The 24,625-nt window shown below is 48.4% G+C and overlaps 3 annotated features.

The window, feature by feature from the left end:
* Positions 820-1,377: an enhancer, noted in NCBI's record as "H3K27ac-H3K4me1 hESC enhancer chr22:49546439-49546996 (GRCh37/hg19 assembly coordinates)". NCBI's record gives its function as "activates a minimal SCP1, AML or CMV promoter by ChIP-STARR-seq in primed H9 embryonic stem cells {active_cell/tissue: H9 hESC(primed)}" and the evidence as "EXISTENCE:reporter gene assay evidence [ECO:0000049][PMID:30033119]".
* Positions 18,242-18,411: an enhancer, noted in NCBI's record as "experimental_63621 CRE fragment used in MPRA reporter constructs". NCBI's record gives its function as "activates a minimal promoter by MPRAs in K562 erythroleukemia cells, with activity observed for both the introgressed and non-introgressed 22:49529444 or rs111526938 variant alleles {active_cell/tissue: K562}" and the evidence as "EXISTENCE:reporter gene assay evidence [ECO:0000049][PMID:34662402]".
* Position 18,326: a transcriptional cis regulatory region, noted in NCBI's record as "Neanderthal adaptively introgressed variant 22:49529444 (GRCh37/hg19 assembly coordinates) or rs111526938 in the experimental_63621 CRE". NCBI's record gives its function as "modulates activity of the experimental_63621 enhancer by MPRAs in K562 erythroleukemia cells {active_cell/tissue: K562}" and the evidence as "EXISTENCE:reporter gene assay evidence [ECO:0000049][PMID:34662402]".

Here is a 24,625-nt window from a genome sequence, read left to right as displayed (position 1 = left end):
GTCCCCGCTGTGTGCCCGTGTCCCCGCTGTGGCTGTCCCAGGCCACCCCAATCCGACACCCTCCCCTCCCCTGTCAGAGCAGCTCCACCCTCACAGCAGGTTGCAGGACGGGGAGCCCCAGTGACTGAGAACTTCAGGCCCCTCCGCAGGCCCTGGGGTGGGTGGCCCTGGCACAGCTTGCCAATGGTACCCAGACCCAGCAGGCAGGAGGAGCTGGCCATGTGGCCTGTCCAGAGAGGGGCACAGCACAGAGGCAACTGTCACCCTCTGGTCACCCTCCAGGCACCGGGGAAGCCACCTCAGCAGGGGCCCTGTGGGTGAGGATCTCTCAGTACTCAGGGGCTGCCCACGCCAGGTCAGAATCAGCAGTCTGGCCGGGACACAGGGGCCCAGCGTGGGGACAAGTCCTGCCTCCAGTGGGACACACAGGCCCAGCATGGGGACAAGTCTTGCCTCTGGGAGGCTTGGAGAGGCCCCTCCCTCGAGGCTGACCCCCGGGAGGAGGCACAGGAGGACGCGAGGGCTCCCTGTCACTTCCTGCCCTTGCCACATTCTGTCTCTTCTCCCCGCTCCTGTCACTGTCCTTCCTCAGGCTTAGATTCCCCTGGCACTGCGCTCTGAGGCCCTCAGGGCCGGGCTGCACCGGCTTCCCCCGGACACGCTGAGTCTTGTCCTGTCCTCCCAGCGTTGCCACAGATGGTGGTTTAAGCCCCTATCACCCAGCAGAGATCCCAACCTCCCCGTCAAATGGCCCACCTGCCCCTTTCATGGGGGTTCCTGGAATGGAGTCAGGTCTGAGGAGGGAGACCGGCTTCGGGCAGAGGAGCAGGGTAGAGAACAAACACCCATACCCGGGAGTGTCCCGGAGACGGACCGGCTGGAGCTGGGAACTGGAGCTGGGAGCCCACCACATTAGGGTTTCTCGGGGCAGCTGGCAGTGAGGCAGATGTCTGGCCTGGAATGGGCCGGCCAGAGCTGGGAGCCCACCAGACCCGGGTTTATGAGGGCAGATGGCGGCGAGGTGGGGCCCAGGTGTCTGGCACCCCACGGCGGCTGCAGCCCCTCCTTCCTCTGGTGACCTCGCCGGCCTCCTGGTTCCCAGCGCTGTCTCCCCTGATTAACGAAGCCATAGCTCATTCTCCATGCGTGACGCTGCCTTGGCTTCTGCGGCTAATTCTGCCACATAATGGAACTTGAACACTGCCTAATTTCCAAATTAAACCCAGATGGATGGCCTGGTCTCTCCTGGTGGCACAGGCTGTGGGGGCAGACGCGCTGCCCCTGGTGGTTTGAAAGCAGTGACGGTCACAGGAGACCACCCTGGAAGGTCCCACCTTTGATCCTCCTGGGACCCTGGCCCTCGGCTACAATTCCCTGTGCCTGAGACCGGATGCTTTGGGGAGGTGAGGGTGGCAGAGGCTGCACCCGTCCTGGTATCTGCCACCTGGGGCCCTCCTCAGGGCTCCAGACAGTGTTGGCCTCAGCGTTGGGAAACTGATCCTTCTTGGAAGCGATGTACTCCTGCTGCCCAGACGCTCTGAGCACCCCAGGGCCTCCCTACCATGACCCAACCCTCCCTGAGTGGGGCAGGGAGGCAGAGACAGAGCCGGCCTTGTGTGGACAGCAGCACCCAGAGGGCCCTGATCAGAGCTCTTGGAGGTGAGTGGACTCAGCTGGATGGAAGGTCCAACCCCGGCCTCCTGCAGCTGGCCTGGGGTCTCCTGGGAAAACCGGCAGGAACCAGACACTCAAGGGGACCCAGGAGTGAACAGAGCAGGAGGAGCCTTGAGCCCTGACTCGCTTCCGCCCCCAGACTCCAGCCAGAGTGGCTGACCTGCCCAGGCCCAGCTGTGTGGAGGGAGCAGGGTGGGTTCTGGAGCCCAGTGGGGTCCCGTTCGCCTCCCCTGGTCTCTCTGGCCAGGCTCCTCTGCTCCGTGGCCGCACAGCCAGGTCCCAGCCAAAGGCACCTGGCCGGGCCCTGGACGGGAAGCTGATGTTGGTCACTCATAGCCCTGCAGGCCTGTCTGGCCCTGTATATAGGCCTGGGACTCAGCCTGCCAGACACAGTCAGGATGTGAGGAGCTCTCCTCCTCCAGGATGTGGGTGGTGGCAGGTGCCCAGGTAACCCGTGGGGCCCTCCAGGCAGCCGAAGGACGTCCTCCTTCCCAACCCAGCTGCCCCTGCCCTGTGTTCCCTCATGGTGCTACCCCTCACTGCTGGCTAGTGAACCTCCCTCCAGGGTCCTCCCTCCCCTCCCCAGCCTCCTTCCCTTCCCTCCTCTGCCTTCCTCCCTCCCCTGCTTCTCTCTGTCCCCTCCCCGCCCCCATCTCCCTCCCTCCCTTTCCCTGCTCCTTTTCTCCCCTCCCCTCCCTCCCTCCCTCACCTCCCCACTCCTTTCCCCTGCGGACAGGAGGACCTGAGCAAACTCAATTTCCCTTTGAGCCCTGAAGCCACAAGATCTTATTCACCTTCCCATTCCCTCCCTCCCTCCCTCACTCCCTCCCTTCCTTCCTTCCTTCCTTTCCTCCTTCCTCCCTCTTTCTTTCTTTCTTTGGGGTCTCCGTATGTTGCCACTCTGGCCTTGAACTGCAAGTGATCCTTCCTCCTGGCCCTGCAAAAGTGCTGGAATTATAGGTGTGAGCCACCGTGCCTGGCCTTCAATTACCCTTTTTGAAACCTCATTTTGAGTATACATTTGAGGTGGTTCTGTTTTTTGGCAATAGGCAGGCTACTGTGAACATTCTTGTGTCTGTTTTTGGTGGGCATTTCTTTGGGCACGACCCTAAGACTAGGTCCTCTGAGGAAACCATATGCGTATGTTTAAAGAAAGCAGGTAACACCAAAAACCCTCTAAGGTGCGGGCACCGCCACCTGCTGATCAGCAGAGCTCAGAGTCAGAGCTCGACTCACTACCTTTCCTGTAGCATCCAGGTGGCTGTGCCAAGGGGTCTTGCTGCCGCTTTATGAAGGGGTTCCTGGTGACTGATGTGCAGGCCCCTCTCTGCCGGGTTCTCTCTCTGCCTGCACTGGTCTCTCTGGTGATGCGGGGATGCTCTGTGGGGAAGGTCTCCACTGGGCTCTCGCTCCATCTGCACTGGTCTCTTAGGTGGTGAGGGGTTCTCTGTGGGGAAGGTCTCTGCTGGGCTCTCATTCTGCCTGCATTGATCTCTCTCGTGGTGAGGGGTTCTCTGTGGGGAAGGTCTCCGCTGGGCTCTCGATCCATCTGCACTTGTCTCTTAGGTGGTGAGGGGTTCGTTGTGGGGAAGGTCTCTGCTGGGTCTCATTCTGCCTGCATTGATCTCTCTGGTGGTGAGGGGTTCTCTGCGGGGAAGGTCTCTGCCAGGTTCTCCCTCCATCTGCACTGGTCTGTCTGGTGATGTGTGGTTCTCTGTGGGGAAGTTCTCCACTGGATCTCATTCTGCCTGCATTAGTCTCTTAGGTGGTGAGGGGTTCTCTGCGGGGAAGGTCTCTGCCAGGTTCTCCCTCCATCTGCACTGGTCTCTCTGGTGATGTGTGGTTCTCTGTGGGGAAGTTCTCCACTGGATCTCATTCTGCCTGCATTAGTCTCTTAGGTGGTGTGGGGTTCTCTGTGGGGAAGGTCTCTCTACTGGGTCTCCCTCCATCTGCACTGGTCTCTCTGGTGGTGTGGGGTTCTCTGTGGGGAAGGCTCTTCCTGGTTGGTCCCTGGCTGACTCTGTTCTACCTTTCAGGATTCACAGCTTCCCTGCCAGCCTTCCCGGGACTGCTGGGCTGTGGCCGTGTGCACCCTCCACCTCAGCTCACAACTCCTTATCTGATCGCCCATGTCCTCATCACTGAATTGAAAACAACTCCCTTCCTCCTGGCCTGGGGTCCTTCCTCATGGTCTGGGGTCCCTGAAGCCCTGACACGCAGCCTCTTTCTCTCTGATTTCACCTCCTCTGTCCCCCAACTGGACACAGCACTGTGCCTTCAGGACCCACTGACCCCATCTCCTCACAGAGACCCTGGTGTCTGGCTCTCATGGGCCCAGCCCCCAGGAAACGTAGGCCACTGTCCTCACAGCAGGGGAGGAGGAGCAAGGACCGGCAGCCGGCGTTCTGAGGAGTGAGATCTCTGAATGGAGAAGGAGGCAAGCCTGCAGGCCCAGCGTGCTCCTGCATGATGGGCCACAACAGAAAGCTCATATGTGATATGGCTTTAAGCAGAAAACCAGGGCGGCAGGACAGCAAAGGAAGGGTCTTGGGGAAGGCCCCGAGCTGGGCAGGGACTTTGGAGTTGCTTTGTTGGGGGGCTGGCTTGTGGGAGGCTGCTTTGTGGTGGGCACGGAGCATGGAGGTCGGGCTCAAAACCATATTTTACAAGCCAGCCTCCTCCCCACTGCCAGGTTGGGAATTTGGGAGAAAGCGGCCGCAGAAGGCATCTGGGGTCTCGGGAGATGAGGCCGCGGACGATTGCACTGGTCCTCCAGGCTCTTCCCCCAGCTCATCCTTCCAACCGTCTTAGTTACTATGGTAGCAAGAATTTGTCATGTTCTCTTGCTTGTTGAGGGCTTTTTTTTTCTTTTTTTTCTTTTTGATTTCTAAATAAAGTCTCAATCTCACCATGAGCTCCTGTCCACACGGATTTGCTTCTGGCCGAGGGCTGCTCAGGACCTGGAAGGTCTGTGCGGGGTCAGCACGGTGGCCGCAGAGCCCCGGGCCGGGGGAGCCTGTGTCTCAGCCCCTCCCCACTCACACTGAAAGGTCCTCTCCTCGACCCAGAAGCAGGGGAAGGGAGAGGTGGGGTCAGGAACATAGGCCCCTCTCTCCCACACTGGAGTTCAGACCTCACACATCACCTTCCCCTGGAGGACAGGTCTGTCCTGGCTTCTGTCTGCCTGGCCCCTGCGCCCGTCTGTTCCATGGGTCAGTCATGAACCCAGAGTGCACAGCTGGCCCCTCAGCCTGCCTTTCCTTTAATGGAGCCCCCGTGAGTCCCGACCCAACACCTGCGGAAGCTGGAAGAGCTCTTATTCCTCCTCCCACGTGGGTGGTCAGCACTGTGGGGGCTTCCTTTCTGCCCGGGTCCTCTTGGCTCCAAGCCCACCACTCCAGGACTTGCCCCTCTGCACCCCCGCAACACAGATGTTAGCACTGTGGGCCCCCTCTGGCCACTCCCCTCCACCGTTATCCATCACTGGCCCTCTCCACCCAGACAGGCTGGAGCAGAGACCCTTGGTGGGCACAGCATTCCTCCAGTGAAGTGAATAAGGAAAGGGGAGAAAGCTCAACCTCTCCTGCTCAAAACACCAGGCAGCTCCCTCCACGGGTCCCAAGGTGGACGCTCACATCCTGGAGGCCGTCCCAGCACCTCTGGCCCCCAGGCCAGCTCACAACAGCCCAGTCCTGAGTGGACCTGGCTTACCCCACACACCTGCAGATGAGCGAGGGGTCCTGAATTCTGAGCTCCACTCCTGCAAGAAACACAGCAGGCCACTGTCTATTGCAATTACTCCACGCTCATTAGTTTTAACTTCAGGTATTTAGCAGAAGCTTTCACACTCAATAGACATATATTTGAGAAATCAGCATGTTTTGGACACAATGTCTGTGCTAGACAGAATTCTAAGGTGACCTCCAAGATTCCTGCACCAGAGTACACCCTCTGAATAAGCGCCTCCCCACCAGTGTGTGTGGGAAGCCGGGGCTGGGAATATGATGAGAAACCACTCCAGTGATTAGCTACTAATCCATTTGCTTTGAGTTAATCAAAAGGGATTGTCTAGGTAAGCCTGGCCTAATCAGGTGAGCCCCTTGAAAGAAGGTGAGGGTCAGAGAGATGTGGTCTTGCTGTCCTATTTTGTTTTTCTCTAAATGCTTTTTATTTTTGCTTTTACATTTAGGACAATGATCACTTCAAATCAATGGCATGAGGTAGAAATGAAGATTCCTTTTTCCATGGGGATTGACTAAGGCAATTTACTGAGGCACCCTTCCTTTCTCCGGTGAATCTTTGGCATATGTGTAGGTCTATTTCAGGCCTTCACATTATGTTCCATTGATTCATTTATCTAACTTCATGCTAATACCATGGTGTCTACATTGCTTTGGCTTTACGGAGAGTCTTGGAGTTTGGTGGTTGGTCTTCCAATGAGTTATTTCTTCCAGTGGTTGTCTTGTCTCTTCTGTGTCACTTGACTTTCCTTATTCACTTTAAAATCACCTTAGGTGTTTCTACAAAAGAAATATGATGGAGTTTTAAATGAAATTATATGAATCTGTAGCTCAGTGTGGGAGGAACTGACATGTTGATACGGTGTCTTCCAATCCATGAAGATGGTACATCTCTACATTTATTTAGACCCTCTTAGTTTCTCTCAGCAATATTTATTTTTCTTTAATATAGATTTCTTGCACATATGTCAGTAGATATTTAATTTTCAATGCTATTGTAGGTAGTACTTTTTAAAGTAACTGTTTAATTGTTTGTTACAAGCATATGGAAATAATATTTAGTTTTTATATTGGCCTTGATAAATTCACTAATTAAATCTAACGACTTGCTTGTAGATTACCTTGAATTTTCTTCACACATAATCATGTCATCTACAAAGATATTACTTCTTTTTCTCTTTCTATTTTTTTATCTCTTTTCATTTTTCTCAACATAGCACTGCCAAGGACCTCCAGTATGATGTTGAATGTGAGTGGCTCATTCCTGATTTTAGGAATGAATGCACTCACTTTAACAGAAAACAGCCCTGTGAGGCTGGGAGGTCAACTTGCAGTTGTAATTCAGCCACACACAGAATGAGACTCTGGGTTTGGGTTTCACTCTCAGCCCTGCAGCTACAGGAGGGAAGGGTTTCTTTCAGGGCAGACAGAGAAGCTTTCAGGTTATTCGTGTAGTGATTGAGTTGGGAATTCTAGTCCCTGAGCTCATCCTTTTCTTTCCCCACTTTGTCCATCAACATTAGGCGAAACCAGTAAATCTCAATATACTCATTATTTGGACAATAATGCTCAAAAGTATAGTATACACAGTCCCCCAGAACCTCGACTCTTACGAGTATTGGATTAGGAGCATCCCATGGTGATATTCTGCATTTCTCTCTTGCCACTTCATGCATAGACAAGGACTCCCTCCTCGACCAAACTTCAGTCAGGCTCCTGAGAGTCCTCTTCCCAATGAGGCCTTGGCCTGAGCCTGCTCCCCTTCCCAGCTCAGTTTTAGCAAAGAATCCCTCAAAGATAATTTAACAAGAATCCCCCCTCCATTACCAAATTCTGGCCCCACCCCTCGCTCTTGATGTCTGAGGACCTCTCCCTGCCTTACGAAGCGTCCTGTTGAGTCAGTTTAGCAAGAATCCTCCCATACTTGCTACCTCATCAACTTCCTCTTGCTACTTTTCCATCCGATGATCTCCTCACCATGCCTGCTGGTTCAAGTCTCCAGCTGTCTTTTCTGTAGTCAGAGTTGATTCAATTTCTCTCCTCCATTGCAGCCATGTTTAATACATTCATTCGTGCCATGTTTAAACAAATGTCTGGTATAATTTTTTTACTCAACACCACAGACTATTAGTGGTCTCCTCACTATTGGAAATAGAATCATTCATTCATGGTTTAAACCTAATCAGTTTAGAGAACTAAATTCCAGAAACCTTAGAACAAATTCAGAAAACTCCGTCTTAAGATTTGGTTTCTCTAGAACCAGTCTCTGTCCCCAAGTCTGTGTTGGAGTTCTCCAGAAAAACAGAGCTAATGGTCCAGATGGAGACAGATAGATGATAGATGATAGATGGATAGATAGGTGGATAGATAGATAGATGATAGATAGCTAGACAGACAGACAGACAGACAGATAGATAGATAGATAGATAGATAGACATATTAAGGAAACCGGCTCACACAATTCCACAGGCTTGCAAGTCTGAAATTTGTAGGGTAGGCTGGCAGGCTGGAAACTCTGGCAGAGTTTCCATGTTGCCATCTGGGGTTACAATTCCTTCTTCATCAGGAAACAGTCTTGATTCTTAAGCTTTCAACTGATTAGACAAGGCCCACCGGCATTGTGGAGGGTCAACTGCTTTACTCAAAGTCTACTAATTTAAATGTTAATCACACCAAAAAATACCTTCATGGTAACACCTTGACTGCTGTTTGACCAAATGATTGAGCACTGTAACCTAGCCGAATAGACACAGGAAGTTAACCATCACAGGTGGAGAGCTGCAGTACTTTGACATTAACTGTAATGCTTGCAGTAGGTTTTATTCATAGATGCCCCTTACAGAATTAAGGACATTTTTTCTATTCAAGTTTACTATGAGTTATCTTAAATTGATTTTGAATTTTATTGACATTTTTTCCTGAAATATGATAGCTCCCCCCTTTATTCTAATAAGGTAGTAGATTTCATCCATTGATATTTTTTCTTAATCTTGAACCAATTTTATATTTTTTGGGTAAATTCTACTTGGCCAAGACATATTACCCCTTTTTACATATCTCTGGTTGTGATTTGCTCATATAGATTGTAGAATTTTTGTGCTATGTTTTTCAGTCAATTTTAGTTTTGTTTACTATTATAATTTATTGATTAGCTGTTTAGTACTAATTTTTACTAAGCACTATATCATAAGAATTTCCCCATAAACTTTGAGAGGCCAAACCAGAATACTCAGACGGCCTTCTCACGTGCAAGCGACAGAAAGCAAGTCCAGTCCAGCCATTTGAGCAAAAAGAAAAAGAAAAAGGAAAAGAAATATATTCCTCTTGCATCGCTTGCAGCCCTTCTGGAAGGGCTGAGAAACCAGGCGTGGTGGCCACGAACTCAGGGCTGCTGCCCAGGATCAGAACCCCTGAGACAGACAGAACCACAGAAAGACAGAACCCCTGTGCCGCCGGACTCATCCCGGAGCTTGCCTTCCTGTGCTGGCACCATGGATGCTGGGCGCTGCTGCTGCTCTGGGCAAAGCCAGCCTCCCAGGGTCTTTGCCAGCCCCTGGTTGCTCGGCCCTGCTGGGAGCATTGACTGGCAGGACCTGGGCCACGGCCCATTTTCTCTCTGCAAGGAGGGCTGGAAAACTGGGGCTCTGACCTCTACATAAGAGAGTTCCTCCCAAGACTTATGCAAAGAGGCCAGAGTCCCCTAACCCATTTAGGGTTACAGATCCTAGGGCGGGGACCACATTTAAAAAAATATATGTATGCATACCCATTCATATACATGCACATATACATATACACGTATAGGTGTACCCAGTAGCTCAGAAATACTGATCAAATGGCTACATCACAGTTTATATCATCTTTCCATATTTTTGGACATTTAGATTATTTCACTTGTTGAGCTGTTCATAGAGCTTTGGATAAAAGTTTTATTTTACTTAGAATTATAACCTCAATATTTGTCATTAGAATGCCAATACCAAGGCAAAATGAATAAGTATTTTAGAAATTCACTCCCATCCTCCCCACAAGCGGCACAGAAAGAGCTGTCTAGAATGGACAGAAGGAGCTGTCTAGAATTGGAGGTATCCAAGCGTATGACATTCCTGCACTCACAGACCCGGAGACAAGCCCGGAGACCACCGCAAACCCTCCTGTGCTTCGCCGTCTTTGGTTTCCATCCGCCTGGCTGTCCCATGTGGTTCCACGCGCTGCCTTTGCGCCTTCGTGCTGTGCGTAATCTGGCCATAGCCACCATTGGTGTGTGTCGTTCTCATCCATGGTGATTGTCGACCTTTTGCCAGGTTTGCCATGCATGCAACTTTAGCTTTTTTTTTTTTTTTTTTGCCTTCTAGGATTGGTTATCTGCATGTTACGTATACACTGAGTTTTACATTTTTGTGCATTCTGACCACATTTTTACGTACTATTTCCTTGATCATGTGTAATCTTAGTGGCAGGAACAAAACAGATAATTTTAATGTCACGTGGAGATGTTCAGCAATTCTAGGTGAGGAAGCTCAGCTCAAGGATGTTTTCCTGCAGGCAGGGACGTTGCCGCCAAGTCTAGAGGGTCGAGCGCAAGGGAGAAAGGCTTCCAGAGAAGGAGAGCTGAGCAGTGCAGGTGGAGGCAGCAGCTAGAGCCGCAGTGCAGAGGCCAGGAGCCTGCCGTGTACCGGCTGTCTGCGACCAGCGTGGCACTGGTGAGAGATGCATCCAGTCGGAGCAGGGCAGGTCTCCCAAGGAGAGTGCAACACATACTTGGATGTCAGAGAGTCATCCAGGCCAGACTGCAGGTAAGGAGACCCTCTGGAAGCTGAGCACAGGGGAAGCCCTTGGGAATTACAAATGTTAGGAATGAGGGGTGCATTTGAGAAGTACTTGGGAAGTAAAATTAGCAGCACTTGGGGACAGAGGAAGTTGGCCTGATGCCCAGGCTTCTGGTGGGATCATCGCAGAGACAGGGGTTTAGGGTTTTATCCACCAAAGTGGCACTACAAGGGGACAGGCTTAGGGGAACCTATTTCCATGCAAGATGGACTTAAAGGGCAGAGGAAGGTAGACGTGACGTGAAGGTAGCATTGTGACAGAGACCAGGGAAGGCCTCAGGGGTGGGCAGGGGGCACGGGTCTGATGGATGGAGCTTTCCACCTGCCCGGGCTCCAGACACTAGTGGCTTGGGCCAGTGCCAGTGGTCCAGATGGAGAGAAATTAGTGCCTTTCGGAGACATCCAGGATGTGAAATAGACAAGACTTACGGATGTTTGGGATATCAGGGGACAGGAATAAAGGCGACCCGAGTTGGAAGCACTGCCAGGTTGCTGGGCTGAGTTACGGAGGAGGAGGACAGCCACAGACCTACCCCTGTGTCCTCCCTCACCTCACAGCAGGCAGGGAGCCACCTCAGGGAGGGTTTCGCAGCTGGGGGCGGGTCCTGAGCTTCGCCAAGACTGTGATGGAGGGACCGTCCACCCCTCAGCCCTGACCCCCTAGGGCTGACCAGAGGCCCATTTCTGCCGCAGACACCATCCAGGCCTCTGACGCCTCCTGAGCTCATTCCCGGAGGCACTCAGGTATCCGCTGAAACCACCGCTCTGCAAGTCCCCACCCGTCCTCTGCATTTGCTGTCTGGGATTCCAAAGGAAATGCCGCCGGCCTCCTAGGACAGCTCTCAAGCCGCCGAGTGGCTTCCTATTGATTGCAAAGCACGCCCATGCTCCTCCATCAGCCACAGAGTTGCACTTCTTCTTCCCCGAGGTATTTCTTCAAACAATGTTTTCAAGAGGGCAGAAGGACCTGGAGCAGGCATGGGAAGCCCTCAGCTTTACTCAGGGAGAGGCTGCCCCCTCCGTTACAGCCCTTGCAGAGTGGACCAGCACTGCGATGAACAATGCCTGGCCCATCCTTGCCCCAGCTGCCCCCAGCCGGGCTGCATTTGCTGCAGTGGGGACTTTGAGGGTGGGGCGCTTGCGTCAAGAAAACAATTCAATATAATTTAAGATGCAACAGAGACACAAATAACATCTCTTTCTCTGTCAAGACTTCGTCTAGGTACTATTTTTGAATGAAGCTGAGGAATTGAAGAAAAACCTGAGAGAAAATTCTGAAATATAATAAAATTGAACTAACATCAAACTACCTTGGAGGCCAGAGAAGTTAATTACATCAACCTAGAGCTGTGCAGTCTGCAGAGACTCGGAGCTAACGTCTATTTTTCCTTCTAGAGCAGATTTCAGGCAGCAAATTCAGCTGGGAATTCTAGTGCAGGATAATAGTTCTTTTTTTTATTGACCAAATTGGGCAAATTAAACAAAAAATGTATTGAGTCACTGCTTTCTGCAGACATTGTGCTTGGTGTTGGGACTGAGATGAATTGAATGTGGCCTCTGTCTTCAGGGATCCCGAGTCCCTGTGGGTGGGACATGAAAGCTGAGGGCCACTGTCAGGGGTGGATCGACACATGTCCAGAGTGAGGGGCCCCAAGGGAGGGAAACTCACTCGCCCTGGGCAAGGGCATCCAGGGGGACTTCCTGGGGGAGGCAGCCGGGCAACTGAGTGAGGAAATCGGACACCCCAGGAGGTGCCCATATGGGAGGGACGGCCACAGCACCATTATGCGCCCAGCACACCTGTCTGCACTTTCCCTTCTTAGCAGATGGCTATTGATTGGTGTCGGAATGGGGAGACACAGGCCAGTGTGAGGGCTGCAGGGTGCAGCTTCGGGGTGCGGCAGCCTCTGTGGGCTGAGCCCCGTGTGGAGGGTGGAGGTCCCTGTGTCAGGACTCCCCGGTGCTGGGGCCGTCACCACTCCCACCCCAACCTCGATGTCTCCCTTGTGAGGGGGGATCAGTTGGACAGAACTGCAAAGCCTCAGGGCCAGCACGGCCTCTGCTTGTAGGACCAGGCTGCTGTGCAGCCTCCTGCAGGCCTGTGCTCCCCAGATGCAGCCTACACAGTGTCTCCTGGGCCCTGTCCTGAGAAGCCCCAAATCCCACCACTCATGTGAGGTTCAGAATTCTGCACGTTCTACACCAATTCTGAGAAATCTTGCCGGAGACTCCTTCCCTGGCAGACCCCTCTAGGGATTCTAGGAAAACCAGTTGATGCCCCTTAGACATTCAAGCAGCAAATGCTCATTGAAAATCTGCCATGTGTCTGGCACAAGTGCCCACACGCACACACACACACACAGATGCAATGTTGTGTCTGAATTGTAGGTATAAAAGTTTGCATATCCACCTGTCTAACCCTTTATCATTCATCCATCTATCATCTTTTTATCATCTATATTTATCTCTTATCTATCTGTTACTCACTGATCTCTGTATCTATCTGTCTATTATCTGTGGATCCATCTACCTCCATCTTTATGTCAGTCTGTATCTGGCTGTGTATCTGTCTATCCGGTGTGTGCAGCTTAATCTGCTATAACTGAAAATGAGAGTGGCCAGAGCTGGTGTGACAAGTGGGGGTCCCCTGAGCTTTCTAGGTTTTAGTTTCTCACTCCACCCTCGATCCCCTAACCATGCTTGCCTTCTTTCCTCTGCCCCCTTACCTTTATGATCACATGATACAGGACAAGACTGCTGAGCTGTAGAGGCAGGGCCTCAGGTACACAACAGAGCAATCAGGAAGCAGGAGCTCCATAAATCCCCCTTGGATGGATGGATGAATAGATCAATGGATGGATGGATGAAAAGATGAATGGGTAGGTGGATGACAGACAGGTGTGTGTGTGGATAATGAATGGATGGATGAAAAGATGGATAGGTGGGTGGATGACAGATGGGTGGGTGGGTAGAGGACAAATGGATGGATGGATGGATGGATGGGTATAGGGATGGAGGGATGGATGGGTAGGTGAAGGGATGAATAGATAGATGGATTGGTGGATGCGTGAATGATGGATGGGTGAAGGGATGGAGGGATGGGCAGGTGGGCAAATGGTGAAGGGATGGATGGAAGAGGATGGCTTCATGGATGGACTGATAAATGGATTGATGGATGGGTAGATGATGGATGAATGGATAGGTGGATGAATAGATGGATGGAGGGATGCATGGATGGATGGATGGATGGAGGGATGGGTGAAAGGGTGGATGATGAATTGATGGATGAGGGAGAGATGGATTGATGGATGGGTGAATGGATGGATTGATTGATGAGTGAATGATGGATGGATGAGTGGAAGATAGATATATGGAGTGGGGATGATGGATTAATGGTTGACTGGATGATGGATGGATGGATGGATTGATGGATGGGTGGATGATGAATGGATTGATAGATGGGTGGATTATGCATGGCTAGCTGCATGGATTGATGGATGAGTAGATGATGGATGGATGAATGGATGGGTGGATGGTGGATGAATGGGTGGATGGATGGGTTGATGGATGGGTGGATAATAGATGAGTTGATGGATGGGTGGACGATGGATGGGAACAGGTATTATGGAGTTTGCCATTGTTGCCCCCCTTTGTTGAGAGGGTTTGAGTGAGAACCAACAGAGCTGCCTGTGCTCTGCGCCCACCAGAATTTTGTCCTGGCTTCCTCAAGGGGCCCCTGCTCCTCCTTGTCCTGAGGAATCTGAGCTGCTTGAATTAGACACTGAGAAAGACACACCAGCATTTTCAGTGTAAAGATTTGGACAATAGGAAGAAAACAAGTGAGTTACAGTTGCCTTTAAAATAAAATTTACTCTGGGAAACAATTTGCTAAAATGACCTCAACATAAACATATTTTTTCTCCAGAAATAAAGCTTAGAATCAAAGGCCCTCAGAGCAATTGGAATAATTGCTTCAATCTTTTCATTTTACAGATGAGAGACAGGTCCAGCAAGGCCAGGAGTGAGCTGAGCAGGGTGGCCATCGGCCATTGGTGTGTGTCCGGGGCTCACATGCCTCCCACACATGCCTGGGCCCTCAGCATCTCACCACTGCTATGAGGAGGACTGGACATCCACCGCAGAGGATGTGCTGGCTCAAATGCATCACCATCAATCCCAATGTGGAGACCCACAGTGGAGGCCCATGGAGGCCTGGCCAGTCCCCTTGGCAACAGAGGAAGTGATGAGAGCCAGTGGGGGCATCCCATGTACCCCTGTTAGAGGAGGGGTATTCCCGAGGCTGATGTTCCTCCTCCAGAGTGATGCCTGCAAAGGCCGCCCTCCTTCTGACACCCACTGCACCGCCTGCACAGGGGAGAACAGCTGGTCTGGCCAGAGCAGGAGAGCAGGTGCACAACCAAGCATGTGGCCTGCCCCTTCCTTTCTCCCTCTGGGCTCAGCCACTGCAGGGCCCCCACAGCTTTTCCAGGGACAGGCTCTTTACCACCACGTGGGACTGCAGGCCCCAGGCAGTTTCATTCCCAGGGAGCCTGCTGAGGGCTGGGACTCACTGTTCCCTGGGTGCAGGGCCTAGGCTGTTTCAGTCCTGGGGAGACTGCTGAGGGCTGGGACTCACTCTTCCCTGGGCTGCTTGTCAAACACATCCGCGCCTTTTCTTCCAGCCCAGCCTCTCTCAGTAACCAAGTCAACGGCTTGTCCCCTAATCGTCTTCTGAACTGAAGGAGGCCACAGGTTAGAAGGGGGCTGGCAGCGGGGGCCATGGGGTGGCCGTCAGGGCTACACAAATGTGCTGTGTCTAAACGCAAGCAAAGGATGCAGCTCCCTCTTGGACCTGGGTGCCACAGTAGCTCCCACTTTCAGTCACAACCGCAGAGATGCTCTGTCTCTACTCCCTCTGCTCTCTCTAGAGGAGACCATGCAGGCATCCTCCTCGGTCCTTCACCCTCAAACTCAGCAGGTTTCCATCCTCCCAACAGGCATCCTCCTCGGTCCTTCACCCTCAAACTCAGCAGGTTTCCATCCTCCCAACAGGCCTCCCTCCTGTGGCTTCTGTGAGGTGCCCCCGCTCTCCTCTCCTTCACCTCAGGCTTCAGGGCAGGTCCCCGCCTCTTCCCAAGGACCCTCTTGGCAGGGACCCTCCTCTGCTCTCCTGCCCACTCCTCTGGAGCATCCCCCAGAAACCCTGGCAGCTGGCACGGGCTGACTGTCCATTGCCCACGTACAGCCCACACGCCCCCCTGGATTCTGGGACGGTCTACCAGGCCGTCAACTCAACACTTCCTCTTGGCTTCCTGTAAGCCTCGCACATCTCACTCTGTAATCCCAGCCTCCTACGGATCCAGGACAAACTGGAAACACATGCAAGACCCAGGAAGTCCACGTCCATGTCTTGGTTTTAAAATTTACAGTCACCGGCAAGAGAAGACGGAATGCATGCGTGGCGGTTGAGAACCTGCATGAAGTGTTGGACTGAAGCACTGGACTGTGACTGCAGTTTTTCCCTCAGCTCGGGGTGCACTGGGCTCCCCTCCCTCTGTCACCCCTGCGTGGCCACCCCCATGAGCCACAGCTGGGCCCATGTTACTCCTAGACACGCAGCCTGCTCCCTAAACCCTGCCCAGCGTCTCGTCCCAGGGAGTCCGAGCAGCCATAGGCAGCCGTGATGTTTCCTCCTGGACGGTGACATTACACTTCGTTTATCTGTAGTTTTTTTCCATTTATCTATAGTTTCCAAGTCCGTTTCTTTCCATGTATCTATAGTTTCTAAGTCAGTTTCTTTCCATTTATCTATAGTTTCTAAGTCAGTTTCCACAATGAGGTTGTAATGTTTAGCAATAATTTTAAGTCACTTTACATTTTTCTAAGGCCAAAACTCAGTGAGAAAGGAAAGAGGCCACCTCATTTGCATCTCTTGGATAGAGAAGAAGCCACAAGAAAAATAAAGGCACCTCAAGAACCTCAGTGACTGGGGGTGTGGGGCCTGGAGTTTCTGTTTAGGAAAATGCAAATGCTAAAAACAAAGCAAAACAAAAACAAAACAGACAGGCATATTAACACCCTTCTAGAATTTTAGAATTTTAGGTGAAAAGTAGTAAACTGGCACGAACATATAACATTGCATGATTATAAGAAGCACGGCTTCCAAAGAAATTTTAACAGTCACAAAACTTCGTGCATGCACCAAAATATACAGCAGCTGAATGAATAAAGCCAAGAGGATCACAAATACAAGATCTGGATCAAAGGAGCGTCAGCGAGAAATTCTGTCTGTTTCGGAATCAAATATATGTCTGAGATAAAAACTAAAACAGACAAAAGAATTGAATTGTGAAATAAATACACTCAATTCAGCAATTAACACAGATTGAACCTTAATCAGAGGCTATCTGGTTGTTTTATTTCATGTTTGGGGATTGTCTTCAAAACCAATCATGTATTTGACAACGAATACCGTAAGTATAAAACTCGGTTGTGATTTTTACAGGCCTTTTTCTCCAATTCTAACCCCCGATACAATTAAAAATAGATAATAAAATGGTGAGCAAAATTGTCAGCCCCATAGAAAAGAAGAATTGATTTGTGGACATCACTTGGCCCAGAACCCAAGACATGCCAGAAGTTTCAAACTCACCACAAAGTGAGGAAGCAAAGCGCTTACTCGCCCGACAGCTCAGAGGAGAACGTCACAGGTGCTGGAGGAAGATGGAGTGTCGCCCTGGTTAAAGTGGAAAACCATACACTTAGGTATTTAATAATAAAGAAAGGCAGTAAAACACCAAATAAAAGACAAAAGGGAGATTCACAAGATGAAAGTTAATTAATTTCAAGACAAAAACAGTCTTAGAAAACATGCATAAACCCAATAATTGTTTCTTTGAACAGATGCATGAATACAGGAATCCTGCTGAACCTGATGAAGGACAAAAAGAAAAAGAAAATCAGGCGTGCAGATGAGAACGTAACTAAAATGACAGACACACGCAATTAAATGGTGAAGCCGGAGTTTCATGCAATCTGCAACTGGCCTGTCCCTGACAGTGTTTCTCATAATTACTGTCACCCTAAGGAGTGTTTTAGGCTCTTTTTCCTAATCGTGATCTCCTTTACTAATTAAGTTTTGAAACCACAAATATGCAGTATCTGATTCATGCATGAGGGTCTCCGCAGTGCCCCAGGCCCCTGTGATGTGTACGATCTGTTGCCCTGGCTTGAAATGCATGATGTAAGTGAAGGCCCACGTATTATATGGTGAAGTATCTTACAGGGGTAAATCAAGCTCACTAACCATGAAAAGACATTTGTATCCTCACGCCTCAACCAGAGCCCCCTCCCTCACAACCCAGAGGAACAGGGTCGAAGCTGGATTGTTGGGGCTCTCAGCGCCCTGTGCCAAGTGTGTTTAGGGGGCCCTGGAGCAGCCCCTCTTCCCGGGCAATGGCCGCCCTCTGCCCTTGCAGTGTTAATGCCCAGTGGGTTCACCTTGCCCGCTGCCTACACCCAGGAATAAACAAAGACAGTTTAAAAGTTAAAAGGAGGCCGGACGTGGTGGCTCACGCTTGTAATCCTAGCACTTTGAGAGGCCGAGGTGGACAGATATCGAGACCATCCTGGCCAACATGGTTAAACCTCGTTTCTACTAAAAATACAAAACTTAGCTGGGCGTGGTGGCAGGCACCTGTAATCCCAGCTACTGGGGAGGCTGAGGCAGGAGAATCACTTGAACCAGGGAGTCGGAGGTTGCAGTAGCTGGGATTGCACCACTGCACTCCAGCCTGGGTGACAGAGCAAGACTCTGTCTCAAAAAAGAAAAAAAAAAAAAGTTAAAAGGAAAATGAAGTCAGTTAGGTCTAATCTATTTCACTAACATAATTTTCTCAATTATAGTTTTTGCAAAGGCGTTTTCAGCAGCTTTCCCAGGCTGTGCACACAGCATCCTAGTCCAGCCTGCAGAGAGGGGACCCATGAGACCATGGAGGCCACAGAAGCAGGAGACTTGCTGGAGGACCCCTGGGGCCCTGGAGAGCAGGCTGGAGGGAAGGAGGAGCTACAGCCACCCAGGTCACATTCCTTGACCTGAGACCACTTTGCCTCACACGGGAGGCTGGAGGAAGGCAGAGCCTGTGAATTGAGGCACTACGCGATGAGAACGGCATGTTTATGGAAATAAAATTTGGACCACAGAGGAAGCAACTGCCCAGCCAACTATAAATCACCAGCATCAGCCCAAGGGGAAGCAGGGGGATGACAAAGTTGGTCCGAGAACATCACTTTCAATAAGGCATCATGACAAACGGTTTCACAGATGAGTTACACTTGACTTCAGAGGCAAGGACATTACAGTGCCGGTGAACAAACACTGTGTCACAGGAAAAGGTAAACGGTGCCTGATCTCACTTTTGGAAGCAAGCGTAACTGGACAAAGCAAGTGTAACTGTAACATCGTACAAAAGAGTAAATTACATTGTAGCCCCAGTGTTGACATGAATGTCAGGAATTCTACGTATCGGGATGGCAAATAGAATATGGAAGTATAACAGAGGAATAGAACAATTGAACAACGTAGTATTTTTTCCAGAAACATAAATGGGATTTAATATCAGGATATTCAACAATCTAATTCATTCCATGGATAAATCAGAGGAAAAATAAAATGATATGAACAGATCCCCAAAAGACATTTTGCTAATTCAGAAAGCAGTCTAATACACACTATACAATATAAGAATACAAAGAGCTGGCTCATGCCTGTAATCCCAGAACTTTGGGAGGCTGAGGTGGGAGGATCATCTGAGGTCAGGAGTTTGAGACCAGCCTGGCCAACATGGTGAAACCCCATCTCTACTAAAAATACAAAAATTAGCCAGGTGTGGTGGCAGGCTCCTGTAGTCCCAGCTATTTGGGAGGCTGAGGCAGGAGAATCCCTTGAGCCCAGGAGGCGGAGGTTGCAGTGAACTGAGGTGGCACCATTGCACTTCAGCCTGGGTGACAGTGCGAGATTCCATCAAAAAAAAAAAAAAAAAAAAAAAAAAAGGAAAGTCCAGGAAAAGAATGGAAAAGAGAAAAAGAGGAAAGGAAAACAGTTGGAACAAACAAAAACGAAAAAGAAATAGTAAGATGGTGGACCTAAAACTAAACACATCAATAGTTATGTTAAATGCAAACGGCTTAAACACACCAATTAAATGATGGACAGTGTCAGAATAGATAAAGAAGCTTGGCCCAGCTGGTCATCATCTATAAGAAACTCACTGTAAATCAAAAGACAGCTAGAGTGGTTATATCAACATCAAACAAGGGAGACCTCAGCGTAAACAACAGTTCTGGGCATGAAGAGGGACATTGCACAGTGATAAGGGGGTTAGTTCACCAGGAAGACATAACGATGCTCAGTGAGTATGTGCCTGATAACATCGCTTCAAAATAAACAGAACTAAAAGAGGAAACAGACAAATTCACAGATAGAATTGGACACATCAACATTTCCCTTCCAGAGACTGGTAGAGCCAGGAGACAGAACGTTGGAAAGACCAAAAGAGGCCCGATAACACCATCGGCTAAGTGGCCCTAACCAGCACTTACGGGACGTGCCGCCCAGCAAGAGCAAACACATGTGCTTTTCAGGTGCACCTGGTGCATTCCTGAGAGGCCATATCCTGGATTATAAAACAAACCTTAACAAACTTTAAAAAACAGAATTCATAAAAAGTGTGACTTTATACCGGTTGTAATGTAATTAAACTGACAATAACAGAAAGTTGACAGGAAAACATCCAAACATTTGGAAATTAAGGAACCCATCTTTCAGGAATCCATGAGTCACGGACACAGCCTCAATGGGAATTAACATATATTCTGACCTGGCTGGGCGAGGTGGCTCACACACGTAATCCCAGCACTTTGGGAGGCCGAGGCGGGAGGATTACTGGAGGTCAGGAGTTCAAGACCAGCCTGGACAACATAGCGAAACCCCATCTCTGCTAAAAATACAAAAAAAAATTAGCCAGGCGTGGTGGTGGGTGCCTGTAATCCCAGCTACTCAGGAGGCTGAGGCAGGAGAGTCGTTTGAGCCTGGGAGGTGGAGGTTGCAGAGAGCTGAGATTGCACCACTGCACTCCAGCCTGGGTGACAGAGCGAGACTCCATCTCAAAAAAACAAAACAAAACAAAATCCTGACCTAAAAAAAAATGAAAATTTGTGATATCCAAATGTATAGAACATAGCTAAAGTGGTGCCAGGAAGGAACATAGAGTATGTTTTCTCTATGTAAAGTGTTCTTCACTCACGGTAGGAAGGAAAAGGGTCTAAAATCAATGACACAAGCTTTAACTTTAAGAAATGAGAAACAGATGAGAGAAAACAAACCAAAATCAAGTGGAAGGAAAATAACAAGAATAAGAGTAAGTTATGTTTCTATATACCAGCAATGAACAACTGAAGTCTGAAATTAATGAAACAATGCCATTTACAATAGCTCAAAAGGAGATTCTTAGGAATCAATCTAATGAAACATACAGAATCTTTGTGGTAAGAATTAGAAAATACAGATAAAAATAATCAAAGAAGACCTCATAAATGAAGAGATATACTGTGTTAATAAGTTGAAAAATTCAGTATAAGAAAATGTCAGTTTCCCCTTAACTTATCCACAGATATAAATTAAGTCATTAAAATTCCAGCAAAAATTTTTTTTGTAGACATAGGGAAGCTGGTTCTAAAATTTACATAGGAAAAAAAAAACCCAAGTAGAATAGGCTAAACAATTTTGAACAAAAAAATGAATTAGGAGGAATGGTACGACCTTATTATTAAGACTTGCTTTGGGCTTCAGTCATGAAGATTGTGTCATATTGGTGAAGAGATAAACATGTAGATCAATGGAACAGAATAGAGAGCCCAGAAATAGATCGACAGAGATGTGACCAATCGATAACAATGGCACAAAGGCATTCGATGGAAAATAATAGTCTTTCAACAAAAGATGTTGGGACAATTGGATGTTCATTTACCAAAAAGTAAACTCTGATCTAAGCTTCACACCTTCTGCCTAAGTTAACCCCAAATACACCGTAGACCTAAATGTGAAAAGTAAAACTAACATTTTTAAAATAAAATATGGGAGAAAAGTTTTGTGACCAGGTTAAACAAAAAGTACTTAGACTCGGCACCAAAAGCGTGATTCCTAAAAGTCAATAAATGAACAATGGAGGCCAGGTGTTGTGGCTCACGCCTGTAATCCCAGGACTTTGGGAGGCTGAGACGGGCAGATCCCAAGGTCAAGAGATTGAGACCATCCTGGACAACATGGTGAAACCCCGTCTCTACTAAAAATACAAGAATTAGCCGGGCGTGGTGGCACTCAACTGTAATCCCAGCTACTCGTAAGGCTGAGGCAGGAGAATCACTTGAACCCGGGATGCAGAAGTTACAGTGAGCCAAGATCATGCCACTGCACTCCAACATGGTGACAGAGCGAGACTCTGTCTCAAATATATATGTATAATAAATACAAATAAAAATAAGAAAAAATGGAAAATTATCAATATTAATAGCTATTGCTTTTTCAAAGATGCAGTTAAGTGGGTGAAAAGACAAGTTACAGACCGGGAGAAGATATTTGCAAACCACATATCTGACAAATACTTGTGTCCAGAATACATAAAAAAAGCTGGAAGCTCAACAGTAAGAAAACAAACAACACAATTTAAAAATGGGCAAAACACTTGACCAGAAACTTCAGCAAAGCAGGTATGCAGGTGGCACAAAAGCACCTGACAAGACGTTCGACATAATTGGGCATTAGGTAAGTGCTAGTTAAGCCAGGTTGAGGTACCACAGCGCGTGGTGCGCACGGCTAACATGGAAACCACTGGTTCTCAGTGCTCAAGGATATGCCTAGAATCACCATGTGGGGCTGCTGAGAGGGCGACATGGGATAGCCATGTGGTTAGGCTGTGCAAAAGTAATTGCGGTTTTTGCCATTAAAGGTCCTTCCTTCCACAGGGTGCGGTGGCTCACACCTGTAATCTAGCACTTTGGGAGGCTGAGGTGGGCAGATCACAAGGTCAGGAGTTCAAGACCAGCCTGGCCAAGTTGGTGAAACCCCATCTCTACTAAAAATACAAAAACTAGCTAGGCATGGTGGTGGGCACCTGTAATCCCAGCTACTTGGGAGGCTGAGGCAGAGAATTGCTTGAACCCGGGAAGCGGAGGTTGCAGTGAGCCAAGATTGCGCCGTAGCACTCCAGCCTGGGCGACAGGGCGAGTCTCTGTCTCAAAAAAAAAAAAAAAAAAAAAAAAAAAAAAAAAAAAAAAAGCCTTCTTTCCTTCCTTCCTTCCTTCCTCCCTCCCTCTTTCTTTCTTTCTTTCTTTCTTTCTTTCTTTCTTTCTTTCTTTCTTTCTTTCTTTCTTTCTTTCTTTCTTTTTCTTCTTTCTTTCTTTCTTTCTTTCTTCCTTTCTTTTTGTTCAGATTATTTTTATTTTATAAAATGAAATGTTGCCATTAAAAGTACTTTTAATGCAAAAACCACAATTACTTTTTCACCAACCTAGTAAAAATCAGTTTGCAGTTTCTTAGAAAGTTAAACAGACATGTGCCCCTCGATACCTCTTTCGAGTGTTTATCCAAAAGAGATGAAATGCATATTCATATAAAAATGTGCATAATGCTTATGGAAGCTCTATCCATAGCCCGATACCGGCAACAATCCAAATGCCTGTCACCAAGGGAATTGATGAACTGTAATCCATACTCAGGGATACCCTGATGGAACGCGGTGGAACCCACACACTGGCATCATGCAATGCATGCCACTCAGCTGGAATGACAGGTGCGATATCGATACAGACAACGACTTGGAATAATTCAAAAGAATTATGCTGAGTGAAAGAAACCAGCCTTGAAAGCTTACATATCCTAAACTTCTCTTTGTATGACACTCTTGAGAAGGATGATGATGGTGGCGAGAATGGATTAGGGAGCGAGGAGGGCGTAACTATGAAGGGTGATGTCAGGGAGACGTTCGTGGCGACGGAAGGGCTTCCCTGCATCCTGATGGTCTGGTTGCTTAAGACTCATAACCGTACATACATGTTCTAAAATCCATTCTACTGCATTTTAATTCAAAAATACATAAAAGTACCAGCCAACAAACTTTATAAAATAACAATGGTCGGAATAAATGGAAAGAAAGAGCATGTTTTTCTACAGAATAATTTAATATCATATAATTAAATAAGTTGATATTTACTTAAAATATTAATAACCAAAAAAGTAGTGTATAAATAAAGAAATAGAATTGAATGAAAATCAAAGTAATATGAAGAAAATAAGATAGAAATCAATGAACTTGCAAATGAAGACCAACTGAGTTGCGTGGTGGCTCTTTGAGAAGAGCGATGGAATTACAAATTCCCATGAAGACTGGGCAAGGAAACAAGGCTAAACCACAGTACAGACTATTTTTTTTTTTGAGTCTCGCTCTGTTGCCCAGGCTGGTGTGCAGTGGTGCGATCTCAGATCACTGCAACCTCTGCCTCCCAGGTTCAAGCAATTCTGCTGCCTCAGCCTCTGGAGTAGCTGGGATTATTACAGACGCCCACCACCACGCCTGGCTAATTATTTTTTTTTGTATTTTTAATAGAGATGGGGTTTTGCCATGTTGGCAAGGCTGGTCTCGAACTCCTGTCCTCAGGTGATCCACCCGCTTCAGCCTCCCAAAGTGCTGGGATTATAGGTGTGAGCCACCACGCCCAGCCCACAGTACACATTTTTAGGAATGAAAAGGGTCATAGCTTTAGAAGCAGCCAAAATTAAAAAGATAACACAATAATGTGAATCATTTCACATGAATAACATTTAAAATTAGGTTGAATAGATAAATCACAGGAAAGACAACAGATCTGACTGAAGCAGAGGTGAAAAAAATAATAGTAATGGGTCAATTCTCCATTGATGAAATTGAATCAGAGATAAAAATTCTTTTCATAAAGAAAGCACAAGACTCAGCTTTTTAAAAGGCAAGTTTGACCAAACATTTATGGAACAAAAGACACACGTGTCATCCTATGCACAGTGACTGTTCCCAGCTCATTTTAAGGGACTAAGGCACCTAGAGAGTTGATCTGGTTTGGCTGTGTCCTCACCCACATCTCATGTTGAATTGTAGTCCCACAGTTTCCACGTGTTGTGGGAGGGACCTGGTGGGAGATAATTGAATCATAGGGGCCATTTCCCCCATGCTGTTCTCATTGAGTAAGTTTCATGAGGTCTGATGGTTTTATAAGGGGAAAGCCCTTTCACTTGCTTCTCATTCTGTCTTGCCTGCCACCATGTAAGATGTGCCTTTCACCTTCTGCATGATT

Source organism: Homo sapiens, chromosome 22 (assembly GCF_000001405.40).
Source record: "Homo sapiens chromosome 22, GRCh38.p14 Primary Assembly".
Taxonomy (NCBI): Eukaryota; Metazoa; Chordata; class Mammalia; order Primates; family Hominidae; genus Homo; species Homo sapiens.
The sequence above is the reverse complement of the archived record's forward strand: the minus strand, read 5'-3'. Positions and strand labels throughout refer to the sequence as shown.